Source organism: Homo sapiens, chromosome 15 (assembly GCF_000001405.40).
Source record: "Homo sapiens chromosome 15, GRCh38.p14 Primary Assembly".
In the NCBI taxonomy this organism is placed as follows: Eukaryota; Metazoa; Chordata; class Mammalia; order Primates; family Hominidae; genus Homo; species Homo sapiens.
Window position 1 is genome coordinate 78,412,365 of NC_000015.10, and position 20,913 is coordinate 78,433,277.

A 20,913-nucleotide genomic window follows, 5' to 3' on the forward strand; every position below is an offset into this window, starting at 1 on the left:
AGAGAGAAAGAAAGGAAAAGAAATACGTTTGTTAATCTGTTGTTTAAACTACTCATTTATAGTATTTTGTTATGACAGTTCAAAAGGACGAAGACACCATCTTTGTCCCTTCACCTCTCCCCTGGCCTTTTTAGTTGGGGCCAACACACCCACACATCACATCCCAGCAGTTTGTAAGAGTAAACTTCAGGCAGTAGTGGATCCAGGAGGCAATTTCTCACATCCTCACCTGTTCTGTCATCCCACATCAGCCTCTCAAGTAGCTGGGTCTCCAGGCACCACCATGCCTGGCTAAGTTTTTATTTTTAGTAGAGTGGGGGGGGGGGTCTCACCATGTTGCCCAGTTTGTACTTGAACTCTTGGGCTCAGGTGATCCTCCTGCCTCAGCCTTCCCTCAACCCCAAAAAACCTTTTTAAAAATACAGTGAGTTCTCACTTAATGTTGTCAATAGGTTTTTGTAACCCATGACTTTAGTGAAATGATGTATAAGAAAACCAATTTTACTATAAGCTAATTTTTGTTTTTTTTTTAGAGACAGGGTTTCACCATGTTGCCCAGGCTGGTCTCAAGCAATCTGCCTGCCTCAGCCTCCCCAAGTGCTAGGATTACAGGTGTGAGCCACCAAGCCCAGCCACTACAGGCTAATTGATAGAAATAAGAGTTAAGTTCTTATGGCACATTTCTGGTCATTAAAATATCACCAAACTTCTAAATAAAGACCCAAAACACTTATAATATTAAACATCAAAATAAATGTGAGCTATACATGCATTTAACAAAGAGTAATAAAAAAAAGTAGGCAATTACCCCATTTTTGGCGAATCAGTGTGTGACAGCCGTCATAGTGATGGGTTAAATCAAGGAAAAGGCCAGGCGCTGTGGTTTACCCCTGTAATCCCAGCACTTTGGGAGGCCGAGGTGGGTGGATCACCTGGGGTCAAGAGTTTAAGACCAACCTGGCCAACATGGCAAGACCCCGTTTCTACTAAAAATACAAAAATTAGCTGGGTGTGGTGGCTCATGCCTGTAATCCCAGCTACTTGGGAGGCTCAGGCATGAGAATTGCTTGAACCCAGGAGGCAGAGGCTGCGGTGAGCTGAGATGATGCCACTGCCCTCCAGCCTGGGCAACAGAGAGAGACTCTGTCTCAAAATAAATAAATAAAAATAAATAAATAAAAAATGTTAAAAAATAAAATCAAGGAACAAATGTTTGCAAAGTCAACATTGTAAGGAGCACCTCCTACCACCATGGAGTTGGAGTTCCAAAACAATCTCAGATCCAGAGAGCTTGCTGAGCACTTTTGTACTGCAGTGTATACTGCTGAACTTCTGGATGATTATCATACACTTCATGAATTTTTATTATTTATTTATTTATTTATTTATTTACTATTATTTGTTTCCCAAGACAGAGTCTTGCTCTGTCACCCAGGCTGGAGTGCAGTGGCTCAATCTTGGCTCACTGCAACCTCCACCTCCCAGGTTCAAGCAATTCTCCTGCCTCAGCCTCCCAAGTAGCTGGAATTACAGATGTCCGCCACCGTGCCTAGCTAATTTTTGTATTTTTAGTAGAGACGGGGTTTCAATACGTTGGCCAGGCTGGTCTTGAATTCCTGATCTCGTGACCCACCCGCCTCAGCCTCCCAAAGTGCTGGGATTACAGGCATGACCCACCGCACCCAGCCAAATTTTTATTTTAAAATAATTTTAATTTATTCATGCATTAATTTTCCAACCTGCTTATTCCAGTTCAGGGTGACAGGCAGCCAGAGTCTATCCTGGCCCCTCAGGGTGCAAGGTAGGAACCCACCCTGGACAGGACACCATCTCATCGCAGGGTGTGTGCACGCACAAACGCACACACACACACACTCGTCCTGAGACAATGTAGACATGCCAATTCACCTCATGTGCACATATTTGGGATGTGGGAGGAAGCCAGAGAAAGTAGAGAAAAAACCCGGGCAGATATAGAAGAATGTGCAAACTCCCTATAGACAGTGACCCCAGCCAGGAATCCATTTTTTTCTCATCAACATTATAATGAAACAAAATGGAGCAACAATGAACAAAATGACATTACCTGAGGACCTGCTGTAATTATACTCACAGAAAGTTGCCAAACAAATACAGAGAGATCCTATGTACCCTCTACCCAGCTTCCTCCAATGGTCACATTTTATATGATGGCAGCACACTTTTAAAATGTGAGTTTGGTACTTGGAACCATCTGGAAGAAGATTTGGCAGTTCACACCTTACCATTGCAAATCTACTCTGTCCAATCCACTGAAAGTCCTGGTCTTCTCCTCCTCCAGGACTTTGTTCACTCATTGGTACCGCCCAGAGACTCAGGCTGGCTTAAGCCAAAATGGAATTTGCTGGAAAGATGGTGGGATGCACCAGAATCTGTGAGAGCCTGGGGAGCAGAGCAGGAGGCAGGACAAGAACTGGGCATCCAGCACGCCTTGGCCAGGTGCCCAGGATGCCCCACAGTAGGGAATGAATGCCCACTGCTTTCTTTGTTTTTTCCCCCATCCTTTGCCATCTCTTTACGAAGCATTTCCATATCACCCCAGCCAAAAATGGCTTTATCCTCCTCTAGCCCACCCCTATAGCCTTCCCACCTGTAATTTCTTGGGGCCAAGGTCCTGATTTTTTATAGTTCATAACATTTAATTATAGTCCATAAATGTAATTGCTTGGGGCCAAGGTCTTGGTCTTTGTATAGTCCATAATATTTACTCAAAGTGAGAAACCAGCAAGATTGTGAATGAATAAATCCTGCCTCAGTAGGCAGTTAATTTTTTTAACCAAATCCTTTGACATATTCATACATAACCAGAATGAAAACAAAACTGCTCTTTTTTGGTTTGTTTTTCACTTCACTTCTTAATGGGAGTGTTAAAGCAGTCAGTAAGTGAAATAGGCTTTTGAAATCACTGACAAAGCTTTTAAGGAGCCCATGAACTTGCGAATAACAGCTACAGAAGGTTTTAATTAGCGTGCTGTGAAACAAAAGTCACTTGACCTCTAGGTGCCCTTCTTTAAAAAGTGAGATAATGAGACTGGCCACCTGCCTCGCTCACTTGAGATAGTGTGTTCATTAATGAGACAGGTGGTGGTGGCAAGGTGCTGGGACTCCTTTGGATGAGAGAAGGAAAAAGCTCTCCAAATACAAACTGTCATAATGATGGTTCTAGCCAAAGATCCTGTTATACCTAGACTCCCTCTGGTGACCAATTTAGCGCATGGTATATAATGCATTTTGAATTAATTGGTTTCTACAGCCTCTTAGTAGCCTGGGAGTTGTGGATTGGCTGTGGTTTTTACCTTTGTTAAGACAAGGTGAATATATTCTCCCCTCAGTGGAAGACAATGAATGGTTGCCCTTGTCATCTCTTTAATGCCACAACTCTCTTCACCTTTACACTGGTGCCTGGCTTGCCTCAGTGCTTTTTCATTTGGAAACCAGTGTTTTCAGCGCTGCTGAACAGTATGGGGAACATTACTATCACCATCTTCGGATCGCCAAAGGGCAGTTAAAAGGAAACAGGAGTCGATGCATTCTGTTTGGTCCCAGAAAGCAAAGTTGGGACAGGTGAGAACCAGATGAGCACAGGTTTCAGCTCAACATAAAAGAAAACATCTTCATAGACAGTCTGTCACACAATGGAACAGGCATCTCCTGGAGGAAGTGAGAAGGGACACTCTCACCAGAGACAGAACCTGTGTGGGACAGGGGTTTTGATTTGTAGACACTTGAATCTGAATCTACTGCAGCTAATTGTTTAACAGAAACAAGTTTATAATGATGAATTGGTGCTCAGCATCAATTTCATTCTCCTTGTGTTCCTTCCTCCACTGAGGAAGCTGGAAAGCTCAGATCTGTATTTCCCAGACTCCCCTGTAGCAGGATTTGTGGTGTGATTTGGGCTCAGCATATCAGATGGGCTTGCACGGAAGGTGAGGAGGAGGCCATACTTCTGCTGGGTCTGCTGATTTTTCAGTGGCCCTTGAGAATTCCAGTGTCCAGTCACACGCTTTATGTGTATTAAGAAGCAGAGCATGAGGCATTAACTAGTATAGATGGTGGCAGGCACAGAGTGACTCTTCAGCTAGCAGCAGCAGTCGTGGTATCTGATCATGGTGGTGTCCTGATTGTGACAATTTGCCAAGCTGGGTCTCACCTGCTGTCTTCTCCTTCAGACTTTCCGATAAGTCGCTTCCTTTCTCTGGGCCTTGTGAGAAACAAACTTACCTGTCCAAACCCAAAGAATGAACTCGGAGACCTGGAGATCAGCAAAAGTGAGACTTTTAATGATAGTCTTGCAAGATTGGGTGTCTGATGGGCAGACACACCCAGCACAGTTTTAACAAGCAATTTATACCCTAGTGAGCAGGTCCCTTCCCCTGTTCCTCATAGGCTTGAGTACTGTGGGGTCACAATCTTCCTGGACGTCGTCTATTGGTTGTTGGATAGGGGCTTTAGGTGTTTTCTTTAGGGTTGTCTTGCTGCATTTTGCTGCAGCCCACAATGCATCGCAATCCTAGTTAGCTCAGGGGCTCTTTAAGTGTTTGACTTACGACCTACGTAGCTGGGCAGGCTGATAAGAACAGACAAAGCAAGCTATTTTGCAGACTAATAAACTTTCATTTTAGACTAAACTTCTTTGGTTCGGGTGAGGGCAACTAAGGCGGCAGGGGGTGGTGAGGGGGCTGCGCACAACAAGCAGGCATCGGCTATCCAAGCAGGGGCCTAGTATATCCTGTTTCTTATGTAGTTTGCTAACCTAAGCTGATTTAAGGCACATTTTCTTGGAAATGGACCACTGTATACATTATTTCCTTCAGGCCTCACTTGCTTCATTTGACAAAAAGGGGTCAGAACACTGTCGCATCAGTTGAATCAGCTCCCAGCTTCCTCCCAAGGCTCATGCCCTACAGGAGAAGACATCCTAGGATTCAGAGACAGTTTGCAAAGGTCTCTACCTATTCAGAGCAGCTATTTTTCCAAATGGAGTCATACTTCCTAATAATCTCACAAACTCTGCATAGCAGAGCCACATCTTATACAGGCATAGGTTCTAAAGTCAGCATTTAAAGTAAAAATCCTATTTAGTCAAAATGACCTTGAAAATCCTCTAGGTTTTCTATATATTGCATTATTGCATGACAAAAATATCTTTGAATAAGATCAATACAGCCAGCTCTTCCTCCAGCATAGATAGACAGCAGCTTCTTCAGCTGAGTACCAGATACAGTAGTGGGCTTATGTTTTGGGCTGAATTGTATGAAAAATAGAAAATGTTCAACGCAGCTGGGTGCAGTGGCTCATGCCTCAATCCCAGCACTTGGGGAGGCTGAGGCAGGCAGATCACTTGAGATCAGGAGTTCAAAACCAGCCTGGGCAACATGACAAAACCCCGTCTCTACTAAAAATACAAAAATTAGCTGGGAGTGGTAGCACATGACTGTAGTCCCATCTACTCAGGAAGCTGAGGTGGGAGAATTGCTTGAACTCAGGAGGCAGAGGCTGCAGTGAGCTGAGATCACACTATTGCACTGCAGCCTGAGTGACAGAGCGAGACCCTGCCTCAAAAAAAAAAAAAGTTCAATACTACAGATATACCCGGTGCTGGGAGATAGATGCTTACATTATGAAAGATTGAGCTCGGGGAATGGGGTGACAAAGAGCAGGCAGAATGTGTAGGGCAGGGCTCTGAAAGTTCAAAGGCCAAGAGGCTGGGGGAGGGCCTCAAGAGATGGGCCTAGTGGGAGGCAGTGGTGCTGAAGGGTCCTCAGTAGCCCTGCCAAATCCTTCCAACCCGGCCTCCCTTTTGCTCAGCAGTGCCTGGTTTGAAAGAGCCCTTCCATGGGTCTGCCGGAAGAGCTGTCAGGAAGGCTGCAATAATGATGTCACCCATGTTGAGAGAGAAGCAGTGACATTGAGGTGTGAAAGATTGGGAAGATTTCAGGGAAAAAAAGGGTGCAGGGTGATGGATGGGTGGGTTTGCCTAGCTGGAGAGGAAGGGGGTGGCATTCATGGGAGATGAACGGGGGGTGAGGGTGGAACAGCAGAAACAGAGGCTGATGTGGGGAAGCTCAGGGCCTGCTTCCCCTGGAAAGCAGATGACTCAGTGAGATGACGCAGAAGATCCAGGAAGGTGAGAGGGCTCAAATATCAAGCTGGAGAGTTTATTTATTTATTTATTTATTTATTTATTTATTTAGAGACTGAGTCTCCTGCTGTCACCCAGGCTGGAGTGCAGTGGCACCATCTCAGCTCACTGCAACCTCCGCCACCTGGGTTCAAGCGATTCTTGTGCCTCAGCCTCCCGAGTAGCTGGGATTATAGGCGCCCGCAACCACACCAGGTTAAATTTTGCATTTTTAGTAGAGATGGGGTTTTATCATGTTGGCCAGGCTGGTCTCGAACTCCTCACCTCGAGTGATCAGCACCCCCTTGGCCTCCCAAAGTGCTGGGATTCCAGGCATGAGCCACCGCGCCCAGCCGAGCTAGAGTTTAGACTTTGATCTTTTGTGCACAGACTGGGGGTTTTGAACAGGAAAGTGGCTGTCATCAATTTGGTGCCTCAGGAAGCTCAGCTGGCTGTTACAGATAGAGTCAGGAGGCCAGGGAAATCCAGCCCCACATGAGGTGATGGCGAGGGCATGGAAAGGGAGAACATAGGAGAGGGATGTGGCATGCTCTGAGCTATGGAACCAAACTTCAATTCCTTCCATGAACATTATGTTAATCTCCCTTCTCTCTGAATGTCAGGATCAAGTCATTACATTTCCAGGGACAAAGCTTCTTGTTTTAAGAACACACAAAGGTATTCTGGGTCCTAAAACTGCAATCACCAGATGAGTTCTTCCTGCCTGCTGCACAGACAAAATCAATTCACTGGAACTGTGGCATTGGAGTAGAGCAAGTTAACTGACACGAGGCTGACCCAGACAGGAGAACTAGAGTTATCACTCAAACCAGTCTCCCTGAAGGCTCAGAGGCCTAGGGTTTTAATGGACAATTTAGTGGGCAGGGGGCTAGGGAATGGGTACTGCTGATTAGTTGGGGATGAAATTACAAGGGTGTGGAAAGCAGTCCTCATGCACAGAGCCCGCCTCTGGGTGGGGCCACAGGACCAGTTGAGTCATGAGTCACGAGTCCAGGTAGGGTCAGTCTGGAAAACATCTCAAAAAAATCTAATCTTAGGTTCTACAATAGTGATGTTATCTATAGGAGCAATTAGGAAAGTCACAAGTCTTGTGACCTCTGGCCACGTGACCCCTGAGCATTACTGCTCATGTTTTAGGGATTATAGAAGTTATCCCTACATTCTAGCAGAGTTCAAGCCCCTCCCATATTCTAATGGCTTTTTTAAAAAATTTATTATTATTATTATTATTTTTTGAGACAGAATCTTGCTCTTTTGCTCAGGCTGTAGTACAGTGGCACAATCTCGGCTCACTGCAACCTCCAACTACCTAGTTCAAGCGATTCTCCTGCCTCAACCTACTTGAGTAGCTGGGATTACAGGCATGTGCCACCATGCCCAGCTAATTTTTGTATTTTCAGTACAGATGGGGTTTCACCATGTTGGCCAGGCTAGTCTTGAACTCCTGACCCCAAGTAATCTGCCCACCTCCCCCCCTTCCAAAGTGATGGGATTACAGATGTGAGCCACTGCACCTAGCCTCTTATGGCTTTTCATTAGTCTGACATAGGCTGTTGTCAGTCCCTGAGCGAGGAGGGAGTTAGTTTTAGGAAGGGACTATTATCATCTTTGCTTTCAAGTTAAACTATGAATTCTTCCCAAGGTTAACTTGACTTATACCCAGGAATGACCAAGAACAGCTTGGAAGTCAGAAGCAAGATGGAGTCAACTATGTCAGATTTCTCTTACTGTCATAATTTTCCAAAGGCAGTTTTAAAACTAAGAGAGAAAAAGCACTAGGTTATGTGACATTTGACCCAGGAATGAGAAACCTTCCCTAGGTCTCTCCACCGCATGGACTGGAGGAGCCTCAGCTTGTCTGGCTTCTGCTTTTTGCTGCTGCTTGAGCAATTTTCCACCATCCCTCCTGCCAACACCATAGATACACCCTCAATGGGGAAAAACCTTTTTAACTTGAAAATTTAAGCGCTCACTTAACGGAAGTCACAGAGGTGAATATGACCAGAATCAATAGAGGTATCTTTGCCTCTGATGTTTCCCACTCCAGGTTCAGAGAGACAAGTTGCGTCTCTCTTTGAGCTTGCCTGCAGGATCACTTGATTCATGCTTTTTCTCCCATAAATATTTATTGAACACCTACCATGTGCCAATTCTAGGGGCTGGGGATACAGCAGTGAACAAAACAACCAAGTCCCTGCCTCATGGAACCTATGTTCTAGTAGGAAATAGACAACAAACAAATGAGTTAAATGTGCAGCATATTAGACCATGATAATGAGATGGGATGGTTCCCTTGACCTTGACCCCCTTCGTGGGCAGGAACTGGAGTGGCTTGTTTCACTCAGCCCACCGCTGGCCACTCCTCATGAGAGGGAGCGTGCAAGCGAGTACAGGAACCGGAGGGAACGAATGCTGGAACCGGCCAGTCACTTCTCTCTGGTGAGAGCAGGCTCTGTGCATCCCTGCAGCAGTGTCCAAGCCCCTGCCCTCTCAGCACCCAGGTTCTTGTCCAGCATCCAGAAAGAATCAGGTCACAAGAACGGGTTCAAGGGTAGTGTATGCAGAGGATTTTATTGGGTGATGGCTCTCAGCAACATGGGAGCTGGAAAGGGGATTGTGTGGGAAGAAGGTGATCTTTCCCTGAAGCCGCACTGTCTGAAGTTAGCTGCATCTATCCATAGTCTCCAACGCTCAGTTGCTGCTTCTCTGCTCACTGCTCAGCCTCTTGTATCCCCAACTCCCAGCAGCCTGCATCCCCACCGGTCAGCCGCTTGTGTTGCTTTGCCAGCTGAAGTCTTTTTATGGGCACGGGAGAGGAGCAGGGCAGACCAAACAAGCAACATTTTCATGGAAAAAAAGGGGGTCAGCTGTTTTCACTTAGGGCCATGGCTCCAGGCTTAAGGGTGGAGTTTAGCTGGGCGCTCAGCCATTCTGTATCAATAAGTGCTACGGAGAGGAATGAAAAGAATGAGTATAAGGGGTGCTGGGGTTTGCCATATATGTTGGGTGTTCAGGAAGACCTCACCGAGCTGGGCAAATTGGAGCAGAGACCCAGTGAAAGTGAAGGAGCAATCTATGTGGCTATCTAGGAGAAGGCACCTGAAAATGCAGAGGCCTAAAGAAGAGATTGTGCTTGGTGTTAAAGGAACAGCAAAGAGCAAGGAATGAGACTAATGCAGAGTGAGCAAAGGATGTAGGAGATGAGGCCAAAGAGGAGGAGTCAGATCAGGACCCTGGAGGCCATCGTGAGGACTTTGAATTTTACACTGACTAAGATGGGAGCCAGTGTGGAGTTCTGAGCAAAGAATGACATGAGCTGGCTTCCACTTTAACAGCATCCTCTGGCTGTTGTGCTGAGACTAGTTAGGAGGCTGCTGTCATCATCCAGAGCAGAGATGATAGTGGCCTGAACCAGGATGGATTGTGTGTGTGTGTGTGTGTGTGTGTGTGTGTGTGTATATATGTGTGTGTGTGTGTGTGTGTGTGTGCTTTTTAGAGATAGGGTCTTGCTCTGTCACCCAGGCTGAAGTGCAGTGGTACAGTCATAACACATTACAGCCTTCAACTCCCGGGCTCAAGTGATCCTCCCACCTCAGCCTCCCAAATAGCAAGGAAAGGACTACAGGTATGTACAACCACACCTGGCTAATTTCTTTATTTTTTGTAGAGACGGGATCTCACTCTGTTGACCAGGCTGATCTCCAACTCCCGGCCTCAAGCGATCCTCCTGCCTCAGCCTCCTAAGTGCTGGAATTACAAGTGTGAGCTACCATGCCCAGTCCAGGATAATATTTCTTTATCAGTGGGGGAGGAGTGGAAGTTTGTAGGAGACAGGCCCAGGGCACCTGAAAAAGTCAGATTTTAGTCTTACAGGCTTTAGATGAATGGCCTCCAAAGCAGATGCTCACCCTCAAGCCTGACCCTTCTGGTCCAGTCTCAGCTCTGAAGGCCACTCTAAAAGAAGAGTGATTGCAATGTTTTGAGTAGGGACAGCTTCATTTGGAATAGACATCTAGTCTAGTAGAATAACTGCTTTGAGGCTGGGTATGGTGGCTTGCCCCTGAAATCCCAGCACTCTGTGAGGCTGAGGTGGGAGGTTTGCTTGAGCCCAGGATTTGAGACAAGCCTGGGCAACAAAATTAGCCAGGCATGGTGGCGTACACCTGGCGTGTAGTCCTTGCTACTTGGGAGGCTGACGTGGGAGGATCGCTTGAGCATGGGAAGTCGAGACTGCACTAAGCTATCGCACCACTGCACTCCAGCCTGGGCGACAGAGCAAGACCCTTTGGCTTTGATTGAAAGGGCCATTTGGGTGTTTTAAATGTTAAAAAAAAAATCCGTTTTTATTGCCATGCTACAGGATACAGTGTGAACTTCAATCCCTTATTGTTCCCTCAGTGTTTTATTAACTACGGATGTCAAGGTCAGACGCTGCTTATTGTCTCTCTTTACATCACTGGAAGGGACAATGCCTACTGCTGCCCCCTGGAGGCCACTAGGCCTAACAGCAGCTCAAGCTGTAACTTCTGAACTTCACCTATTTTCTGGGCACAAACCATTTGGTTCAGCCTGCAGAAGAGCGTGGAAGACATATGGGACTGGGGCCCACAATCTGGTTTCCCATTCTTGCTCTGCCATTATTTCACTGGATAACTCACTGTGGGAATTTAAGCAAGTCCCATGCTCATATATAAAGCTATTAAACTAGATGGTTTCTTATCTTCCCTTCTTGTGCTGACATTTAATTTTATTATTTTATTCACATTTATTACAGGTGTGAACCACCACGCTTGGCCATGTGACATTTTAAAGTGTTTATGAAATCTGTAAATTAAGTGGGACATGGCTTCCACATCATCCCAAATTCCCTTTATATTCCTGTACCCTTTTTTCTCTCTCTCCCCAAACATCCCTCCCAGCACCTAGACACTGTCCTCTGGCCATCTGGGAAACCACAGTGCAAGGCCCCTCCTGGGCCCATCTTCCCCTTAGCAGGGGCCCTAAACGTTAGACATTTTTTCTTCTTTTGCTCTTATCAAAAACGACTTTTCCTAGTTCCACCAACTAATGAGTGAGTGCTAATGAGGGATTATATTTTTCCACGTCTCAGTTTTCTTCTCTGTACAACAGGGCTAATAATATTTATCTTCAAGGTTATTATGAGGATTACAAATAGTTTATGCAAACAGCCTAAACTGTTGAATACACTGTCTGAGGTATTCAATAAATGGCAGACTGCTTTTATTTTATTCTATTATTTATTTATTTAAGACAGGGTCTCATTCTGTCACCCAGGCTGGAATGCAGTGGTATGATCATGGCTCACTGCAGCCCAGACCTCCCTGGGCACAGGTGATTCCCCCATCTCAGCCTCCCAACTAGCTAGGACCATAGGTGTGCACCACCACACCAGGCTAATATTTCTATTTTTTGTAGAGTTTCAGCATGGGGTTTCCCCATGTTGACCAGGCTGGTCTCGAATTCCTGTGCTCAAGCGATCTGCCCTCCTTGGCTTCCCAGAGTGTTGGAATTACAGGAATGAGCCACTGCGCCTGCCTTGGACACTGTTTTTAAATGGACACAGCTCAAAAAAAAATCATTTTCTCTTAATGTTTCTTAGAAACCTTTTTTAATTCCCTCCAAGTGGGGTTAAATGTTCTTCATCTGTGCTTAAAAGTCTATGGGAATGATTCACTGAGTGCTAGATACATGTCCATACCCGAATAGACCACTATGGTAGGCAGAATAATTCCCCCACCTCTCCAAAGATGTCCATGCCCTAGTCCCTGGAACCTGTGAATAGGTGATGTTACATGGCAAAGGGGGAAATGAAGGCTTAGGATGGAATTATGTTTGCTAATCAGCTGACTTTGAGATTGGGAGATTATCCTTCAGTATCCAATGTCCCCAATGTAATAACGAGATTCATTATCAATGAAAGAAGGAGGTAGAGAGTCAGAGATAGATGTGAAGACCGAGGCAGAGGTCTGAGTGACACCATTGCTGGCTTTGAAGATGGAAGAGAGCCAGGGCCAAGGGATGTCTGAAGCCTCCAGAAGCCAGAAAAGGCGAGAAAATGAATTCTCCTCTAGAGCCTCTGGAAAGGAGTGCAGCTCTATTGACACCTTGATTTTAGCCCAATAAGACCCATTTCAGACTTCTCCAGAACCGTAAGATAATTAAATTGTGCTGTTTTAAGCCACTAAGTTTGTGGTAATTTGTTACAGCCACCATTGGAAATAAATACAAACCCTCACATACATTTAATTGGCACAACAATCCAAGTAGTCAGTAGTATTGTCCCCACTTTACAGCTGGGGAAACTGCAGCTCAGAGATGTTAAGTAACTTGCCCAAAACTGCACAGCTAGTAAATAGCTACATCAGTTAAATTCCTTTGGTGCAAGTTTTGGAAAACAAACAAAAACACAAATTGGGCTGGGCTCGGTGGCTCACGCCTCTAATTTTAGCACTTTGGGAGGCTGAGGCAGAAGGATTGCTTGAGGCCAGGAGTCTGAGACCAGCCTGGATAACATAGAAAGACCCTGTCTTTACAAAAAATAAAAATTAGTGGGGTTTGGTAGCACATGCCTGTGGTCCCAGCTACTCGGGAGGCACAGGTGGGAGGATCGCTTGAGCCTGGGAAGTTAAAACTGCAGTGAGCCGAGATAGTGCCACTGCATTCCAGCCTTGGCAACAAAGCAAGACCAAACACTAGAACTTGTACCTTCTCTCTAACTATATTTTTGTACCCCTTAACCAACCTCCCTTCATTCACCCCTCAACCCCCTAACTCTCCCCCAGCCTCTGGTAACTGTCATTCTTCTCTCTCACTCCATAAGATCTGCTTTTTTGGCTCCCACGTGTGCATGAGAACATGTGATATTTGTATCTCTGTGCATGGCTCTGTGAAAGAAAAATAAAAACTCGGGACCCCCAATATAATGACCTCCAGTTTTATCCATGTTGCTACAAATGATAGGATTGTATTCTTTTATGGCTGAATAATACTCTATTGTGTATATATACTACATTATCTTTATCCATTCATCTGTTGATGGACACTTAGATTGATGCCATAATTTGGCTATTGTGAACAGTGCTGCAATAAACATAAGAGTGCAGAATCTCATTGATTGATATACTGATTTCCTTTCTCTTGGATATATACCCAGCAGTGGGATTGCTGGGTCATATGTTAGTTCTATTTTTAGTTTTGAGGAACCTCTATATTGTTCTCTATTGTGGTTATACTAACTTACATTCCCACCAACGGTGTACAAGAGGCCCCCTTTCTCCACATCCTCACCAGTTATTTTTTATCTTTTTGATGAGTCATTTTCACTTGAATGAGATGATATCTCATTATGGTTTTGATTTGCATTTCCCAGATGATTAGTGATATTGATCATTTTTCATATACTTGTTCTTTTGAGAAATGTTTATCAAACCATTTGCCCATTTTTTAATTGAATTATTTACTTTTTTGTTATTGAGTTGAGCCTCTTATATATCTGGTTATTAATTCCTTGTTAGTTGGATAGTTTGCAAATATTTTCTCCCATTCTGTAGGTTGTCCCTTCACTCTGTTGATCATTTCCTTTGCTGCACGGAAGCCTTGATATAATCTCACTTGTCTATTTTTGCTTTGGTTTCCTGTGCTTTTGAGGTCTTATCCAAAAAATCGTTCCCCAGACTAATGTTCTGAAGCATTTCTCCAATGTTTTCTTCTAGTAGTTTCATAGTTCAGGTCTTACATTTAGGTCTTTATTCAATTTTGATTTAATTTTCATATAAGATGAGAGACGAGGGTCTAGTTTTGTTCTTCTGCATATAGATATCCAGTTTTCACAGCATCGTTTATTGAATATATTCCCCAATGTATGTTCTTTTCCCAATGTATGTTCTTGGCACCTTTATGAAAAATCAGCTGGCTATAAATGTGTAGCCTTTGTCAAAGATGACTTGGCTATAAACCTGTGGGTTTACATCTATCTGGCTTCTCTATTTCGTTGTATTGGTCTATGCATCTATTTTAATGCCAGTACCATGCTGTTTGGGTTACTATAGCTTTGTAGTAATATTTTGCTTTGTTTGTTTGTTTGTTTGTTTGTTTGTTTGTTTTTAAGACAGAGTCTCGCTCTGTCGCCCAGGCTGGAGTGCAGTGGTGCTATCTCAGCTCACTTGCAAGCTCCACCTCCAGGATTCAAGTGGTTCTCCCACCTCAGCCTCCCGAGTAGCTGGGATTACAGGCACGCACCACCACGCCTGGCTAGTTTTTGTATTTTTAGTAGAAACAGGGTTTCACCATGTTGGCCAGGTTGGTCTCAAACTCCTGACCTCAGGTGGTCCACCCACCTCGGCCTTCCAAAGTGCCGGGATTACAGGCGTGAGCCACCGTGCCCAGCCTGTAATAATATCTTGAAGTCTGGTAGTGTGATGCCTCCAGCTTTGCTCAGGATAACTTTGGCTATTTGGGATCTTTTGTGATTCCATATGAATTTTAAGATTTTTTTTCTATTTCTGTGAAGAATGTCATTGATATTTTGATATGGAGAGATATTTAAACAAAACTACATTTGTTTTTTATTTATTTTTTTACTTAAAAAAAATTTTTTATATTTCTTTATACTTTTTTAAAACAAATAAACATGGGGTCTCATGATGTTGCCCAAGCTGCTCTCAAACTCCTGGCTCAAGCCTCGGCTCAGCCTAATTTGTTTTGTCTTTTGACACTATAAAATAAAATGAGTGTTCCAATGAGCTGAGCAGAGGAGGTTGGCTTTATGGGCAGAAAAGGGCTGAAGAAAGGTAGAAACGGAGAACGAAAAGCAGACTGGTTGTTTCAAAGTTACCTTCCTTGTAAGGTAGAAGCAGAAGGGACTTCCTTATCACACCAGCTAAAGCTGGCCTGTTTGGGGATTTGACTACTTCTCTTTCTTGATTTCTTCTAAGGTCAGGTAAACAATTTAATTTAGGCTTGGTGGCATGGAACTTCAGTGTGAGTGACTCCATTATGGTTTGGTCTGTTGGGCCTAGTGCAGGAGCTCAATTGAAACCAATGACCTCCTATACATTTTAACACCATAAAGGAAGTTCATTGGCTCACATAACTGAAGAGAATTCCAAAGGAAGTTCTTGTAGAGAACAGGTAAGGCTTGATTCAGAATCCGAAAGAATGACACCCGGGATCCAGAATTTCTCTCTCTTATCTGTGCCTTCCACCGAGAATGGCTTTATTCTCAGGTACCACACAGTGGAGGCCACACCTCCAAACTCACCCCTGTGGTGATAAAATGGCTGCCGCAGTTCCAGATGTCAGAACCTCACTCTCACAACTTGTTGAGGAAAAAAGAAAGCCTCCCTTTCTCAGAAGCCCCAACAAGTCTTGTTGTGAGTTGTTGCTTCTAATTAGGTTACATCCCCAATTTCTGATCTGAATACTGGATCCATGGTGGACCTATGGATGGGAATTGGGGAAGAGCTGAATTGCCCAGGGGAAGTTCAGAGTCATCTGAACAGGAGACACAGGAAATGACTATCAAATGTCCACAAAGATCTTGACCACCAAGTATCTGAGTTCAATTACTACTGCCTCTCAGTAACATCTTTTCTGACTCCTCAGACACATTACTACTGTCTGTTTCTCACTGTCCCAATTCTTCAAACTAAGGGACAACCCTTATATCCTGGAGCTAGCCTTATATCCTGTGCCCCCAGCCCTTACCACAGGGCCTGGCTAAGATCAGCTATCAGATACATGTGTGTTGTTCAATGGGACTGCTCTTTACTGGCAGGTGAGACATTCACAAAGCTGCTCAAGTTCCACCTTTCTCTAATTCTGTAAGGGAGCTGCTCTGTTACCCATGCAGCTGGCTAACGTTTCTGAGAAAATACAAGAACTTCATTTGGTACAAGGTGTGGCTTGTATTATATTGAAGCCAGTTTGAGTTGAATGTTTCTTTTAGTTATAGCTGAAAACAACCCGATACCATGCCTTCTAGGGGTGTTTTGAGGAATTTTTTTTTTTTTTTGGGACCGGGTCTCACTCTGTCACCCAGGCTGGAGTACAGTGGTGCGGAGATCTCAGCTCACTGCAACCTCTGCCTCCCACATTCAAGATATTGTCCCACCTCAGCCTCTCCAGTAGCTGGGACTACAGGTGTGTGCCACCATACCTAGTTAATTTTTGTATTTTTTTGTAGAGAGGGTTTCACCATGTTGACCAGGCTGGTCTTGAACTCCTGACCTCAGATGATCTCCCTGCCTTGGCCTCCCAAAGTGCTGGGATTACAGGTGAGCCACTGTGCTCATGAGATAATGTATGTAAAGTATTTAACAAGTTCAAGTTTTTTTTTTTTTCCTTTTTTGAGATGGAGTCCACGCTGTCACCCAGGTTGGAGTGCAGTGGTGCAATCTTGGCTCACTACAACCTCCACTTCCTGGGCTCAAGCAATCCTCCCAACTCAGCCTCCTGAGTAGCTGGGACCACAGGCATGCACCACCAGACCCAGCTAATTTTTTTGTATATTTGGTAGAGACAGGGTTTCACCATGTTGCCTGGGCTGATCTCCAACTCCTGGGCTCAGGAGATCCGCCGGCCTCGACCTCCCAAAGGTGTGAACCACTGCCCTCTGCCTTAACAAGGTTTAATAGGTGTTAACTATTATTACTTTTATTATCACTTGTACTAATGTTATCTATTTGTAAGCTTCTCAAGGGCCGGTCTCATCCTCCTCACTGTTCTGATATTAGTACATAATACTCAAATGGTGGTTGAACCAAACCAAAGTGTCCAGGCCACCACTTTACAAGAGTCAGGTTTCCATCGATGGGATTTTAAAATATAAGTCATATTTTCAAAATCAGTAGGATAGCTTGCTATTTACAGAATTCCTGTAGAAAATTATTTTTGAAAGATTAATCATTTCATAATTCAAATCACTTATGTCTCATTTGTCTGTTGCACAGGTTTGGAACTTCTTACATGCAGAATCAGGTTTCTTTCATTCATTTATTCATTCACTTATCAATTCATTTATACAACAAGACTTTCTGGAGCAATGGCCATATGCCAGGGCCTGTGCTAGGAGACAGGGAGAGAGAGTAAACACTTGGTGCTTGTGTTCAGGGAGTTCAGTTTAGTGAATGAACAGACAAACAAAGAATTACGGCATGGTGAGCTAAGTGCTGTGAGAGGGAGGCATGGGTGGCTTTGAGGGCAATAAAGAGGGAACCCAGGGTAGCGGTGGAGGGGAGTGCATAGGAGCAGAAAAAGCTTCAAAAAGAGGAGCTTCTGCTTCTGATTGACAACTAGAAGTTGGCTGATGAATGTGCAAAGGCTTGAAGGAGCATGAGGCTTATTTTCAGGGAAATCCAGGTGGTATTAGTTCTGTTTGTGTTCCATGTTAGTTAAGAATGGGACAAGAGGTAAGACTGGAGAGTAGGCGAGGATCAGGCCGCAAAAGGTCTCAAAGGCTGGGCTGGAAAGTTATGATTTCATCTTGAAGGTGGTCAGGGAGATTTTGAAGATTTTCAGCAAACATGATCAAATTTGCCTTTCAGAAAGAATATCCTGATGGGACTGGGTGCGGTGGCTCATGCCTGTAATCCCAGCACTTTGGGAGGCTGGGGTGGGGGAATCCCTTGAGGCCAGGAGTTGGAGACCAGCCTAGCCAACATGGCAAAACTCCGTCTCTACTAAAAATACGAAAACATTAGCCAGGCGTGGTGGCATGTGTCTGTAGTCCCGGCTACTTAGGAGGCTGAGGCAGGAGAATCGCTTGAACCCAGAAGGCGGAGTTTGCAGTGAGGTGAGATTGTGCCACTGCACTCCAGCCTGGGCAACAGAGTGAGACTCCATCTCAAAAAAACAAAAACAAAAACAAAAAAAGGAAGAATATCCTGGTGGGATTGTAAAGCGTGATTAGAGCAATGATGAGAGGGTTGGGGAGGCAAGCCTGAAACAGGGACACCACTTAGGAAATGACTCTTAGGCTGACCCATATAAAATCACCTTTTTAAAAATGATCAAATGCCCTCAATCTCCCTCCCAAAGCAATGGTCCAGATGAGAGTGATCGGAACCCAAACCAAGCCACCAGTAAAAGAGATAAACCAAGAGACATCAGGAGCTCTAATTTGATAGGACATCATAGTGTTCTTTGATGAGAGAGGCAAAGGAAAGGACTTACATCTGAAAGTGGAAACATAAAATCACAGTCTATAAAAATCATTCTTGTACCTAAAAAGTTTACTTCAACCAGTGAATTCTGCAGCTGAAGCCTGATAGATTCATTCAGGTCGGCATAGCCACACAGCAGAATTGGGGCAAGGCTGGGATTGAAACCCAGGACTCCTGACTGCTCTGCTGCACTGTCTTCATTGTACCTTGGGTCTTCCAAAAAGGTATTTGTATTCACTTCCTAGGCCTGCCGTCACAAACTACTCAAACTGGGAGACTTAAACAACAGAAATTTATTGCCTAACAGTTCTGGAGGCTGGAAGTCAGAAATGAAGGTGGTGGCAGGGTTGAATCCTTCTAGGAGTTGTGGGAAAAATTTGCTTCAGGCCTCTCTTCCTGGCTTGTAGACCTGTCAGCCCTATCTCCATCTTCATGATCCCACAGCGTTTCTCTCTGCGTGCTGACTTTCTTCACATGGGCTTTCCCCTGTGTGTCTATGTGCCTGTTTTCTCTTCTTAGGAGAACACCAGTCATTGGATTAGGACCAACCTTACTCCAGTATGATTTCGTCTTAACTAATTACATCGGCAATGACTTTATTTCCAAATAAGGTCACATACACAGGTATTAGGAATTAAGACTTCAACATATGAATTTTGTGGGGGCACAATTCAAACCATAACAACAGTACATTTGAAATTTATGTTTCCATGTCATTTTACTGATGGCAGTTCTGCATTTTCCCTTAGAAAACGGAATTAGGGTCCAAGGAATAAGGGTCTTTTCCATTTCCATATCTTGACACAGTTCCAAGGACAGTGTTCTGCTCTATAAGCCTGCATCAACATTCTTAATCACCTGCTGGCAACAGACAGGGATTTCGGTGAGCTTCTAAAAACTTTTAATATGTGGGCTGGGTGCGGTGGCTCACACCTGTAATCCCAGCACATTGGGAGTCTGAGGCGGGAGGATCACTTGTGGTCAGGAGTTCAAGACCAACCCAGCAAATATGGTGAAACCCTGTCTCTACAACAATAAAACAATTAGCCAGGCATGGTGGCACACACCTGCAAATCCAGCTACTTGGGAGGCTGAGGCAGGAGAATTGCTTGAACCCGGGAGGTGGATGGTGGAAGTGAGCTGAGTTCACACCACTGTACTCCAGCCTGGGCAACAGAGCAAGACTCCATCTCAAAAACAAACAAACAAACAAAACAACAACAACAACAAAACCTTTTAATGTGTGGTCTACTCTCATTGGTGAAGAGAAAAAACTCTTATCTGCATTCCTCTTGACTTGATAGGCAGAACATACAGTTACCTGCTTTGGATGAGCAATGGTTCCCTTTAATTTCATATGCCAAGGGCTGGCAGCCAACTGCTCTCCTCTTACCCACGATCAGGCTCAGCAGTGGCTACAAAGGTCAGCCACAGAATGGCAGGAGATCTTGTTTATCATGCTTTTGATTCTTGAAGATAAGACATTTATTTTGGAACTATCAATAACCAAACAGACTTTCTCTGTGTAGAACTAAAACATAGATTGAAAGAACAGAGCATCACTGAGGACTTAGCTACTAAGAGATCATACTGAGATTTAGAAAGGCCATGGGAGCCTCCAACTCACCCCCTGTAATAACTGAGACCATGTCTAACCACAGAGGTGTGGGTGGGTGAAAATATGGGCTCTAGAGTGTCATGGAGGCCAGCCACAGTGGCTCATGCCTGTAATCCCAGCATTTTGGGAGGCTGAGGTGGGAGGATCACTTGAGCCCAGGAGTTCAAGACCAGTCTTGACAGCATAGGGAGACCCCGTCTCTACAAAAAATTTAAAAGTTAGTCAGGTGTGGTGGCACATGCCTCTAGTCCCAGCTACTTGCAGGGCTGAGATGGGGGGATCGCTTGAGCCCAGGTAGTCAAGGCTGCAGTCAGCTGTGATTGTGTCACTGCACTCTAGCCTCAGTAACAGCAAGACCCTGTCTCAAAAGAAGAAAAAAAAATAGAGTCTCATGGACCTGGGCTTAAAACTCTGCTCTGATTTTAAGTTAAGTGATGGCTCCATTCCCAAAAAAAAAAAAAAAAAAAAAAAAAAGAGGAACTAAGTAAAGGCAGGTGCCTCCTGATATGATGCACCAAAAAGAACACAACATGACTTATGTAGCATACCTACCAAAAATGCATAATTAAATGTAATCATGAAGAAACAGTCAGGCTAGCCTAAATTAAAGGACATTCCACAATACAATGGGCCAATACTCTTTAAAAATGTCAATACCATAAGAGAAAATGAAACGCTAAGGAACTGTTCCAAATTAGAGAAAACTAAACAGATACGACATCTAAATCCAATGCTTTATCCTGGATAGCATTTTGGATTGGAGAAGAGTTTCTAGAAAGAACAATATTGGGACAATTGACAAAATTTAAATATGGATTGTAAACTGTGTCAATGTTTGAATATGGATTATTAATAACATTTGATGATTCAAGTTCATAAAATTTGGATATGAATTGTATTGATACAATTGATTGTGTTGTATCAATTAC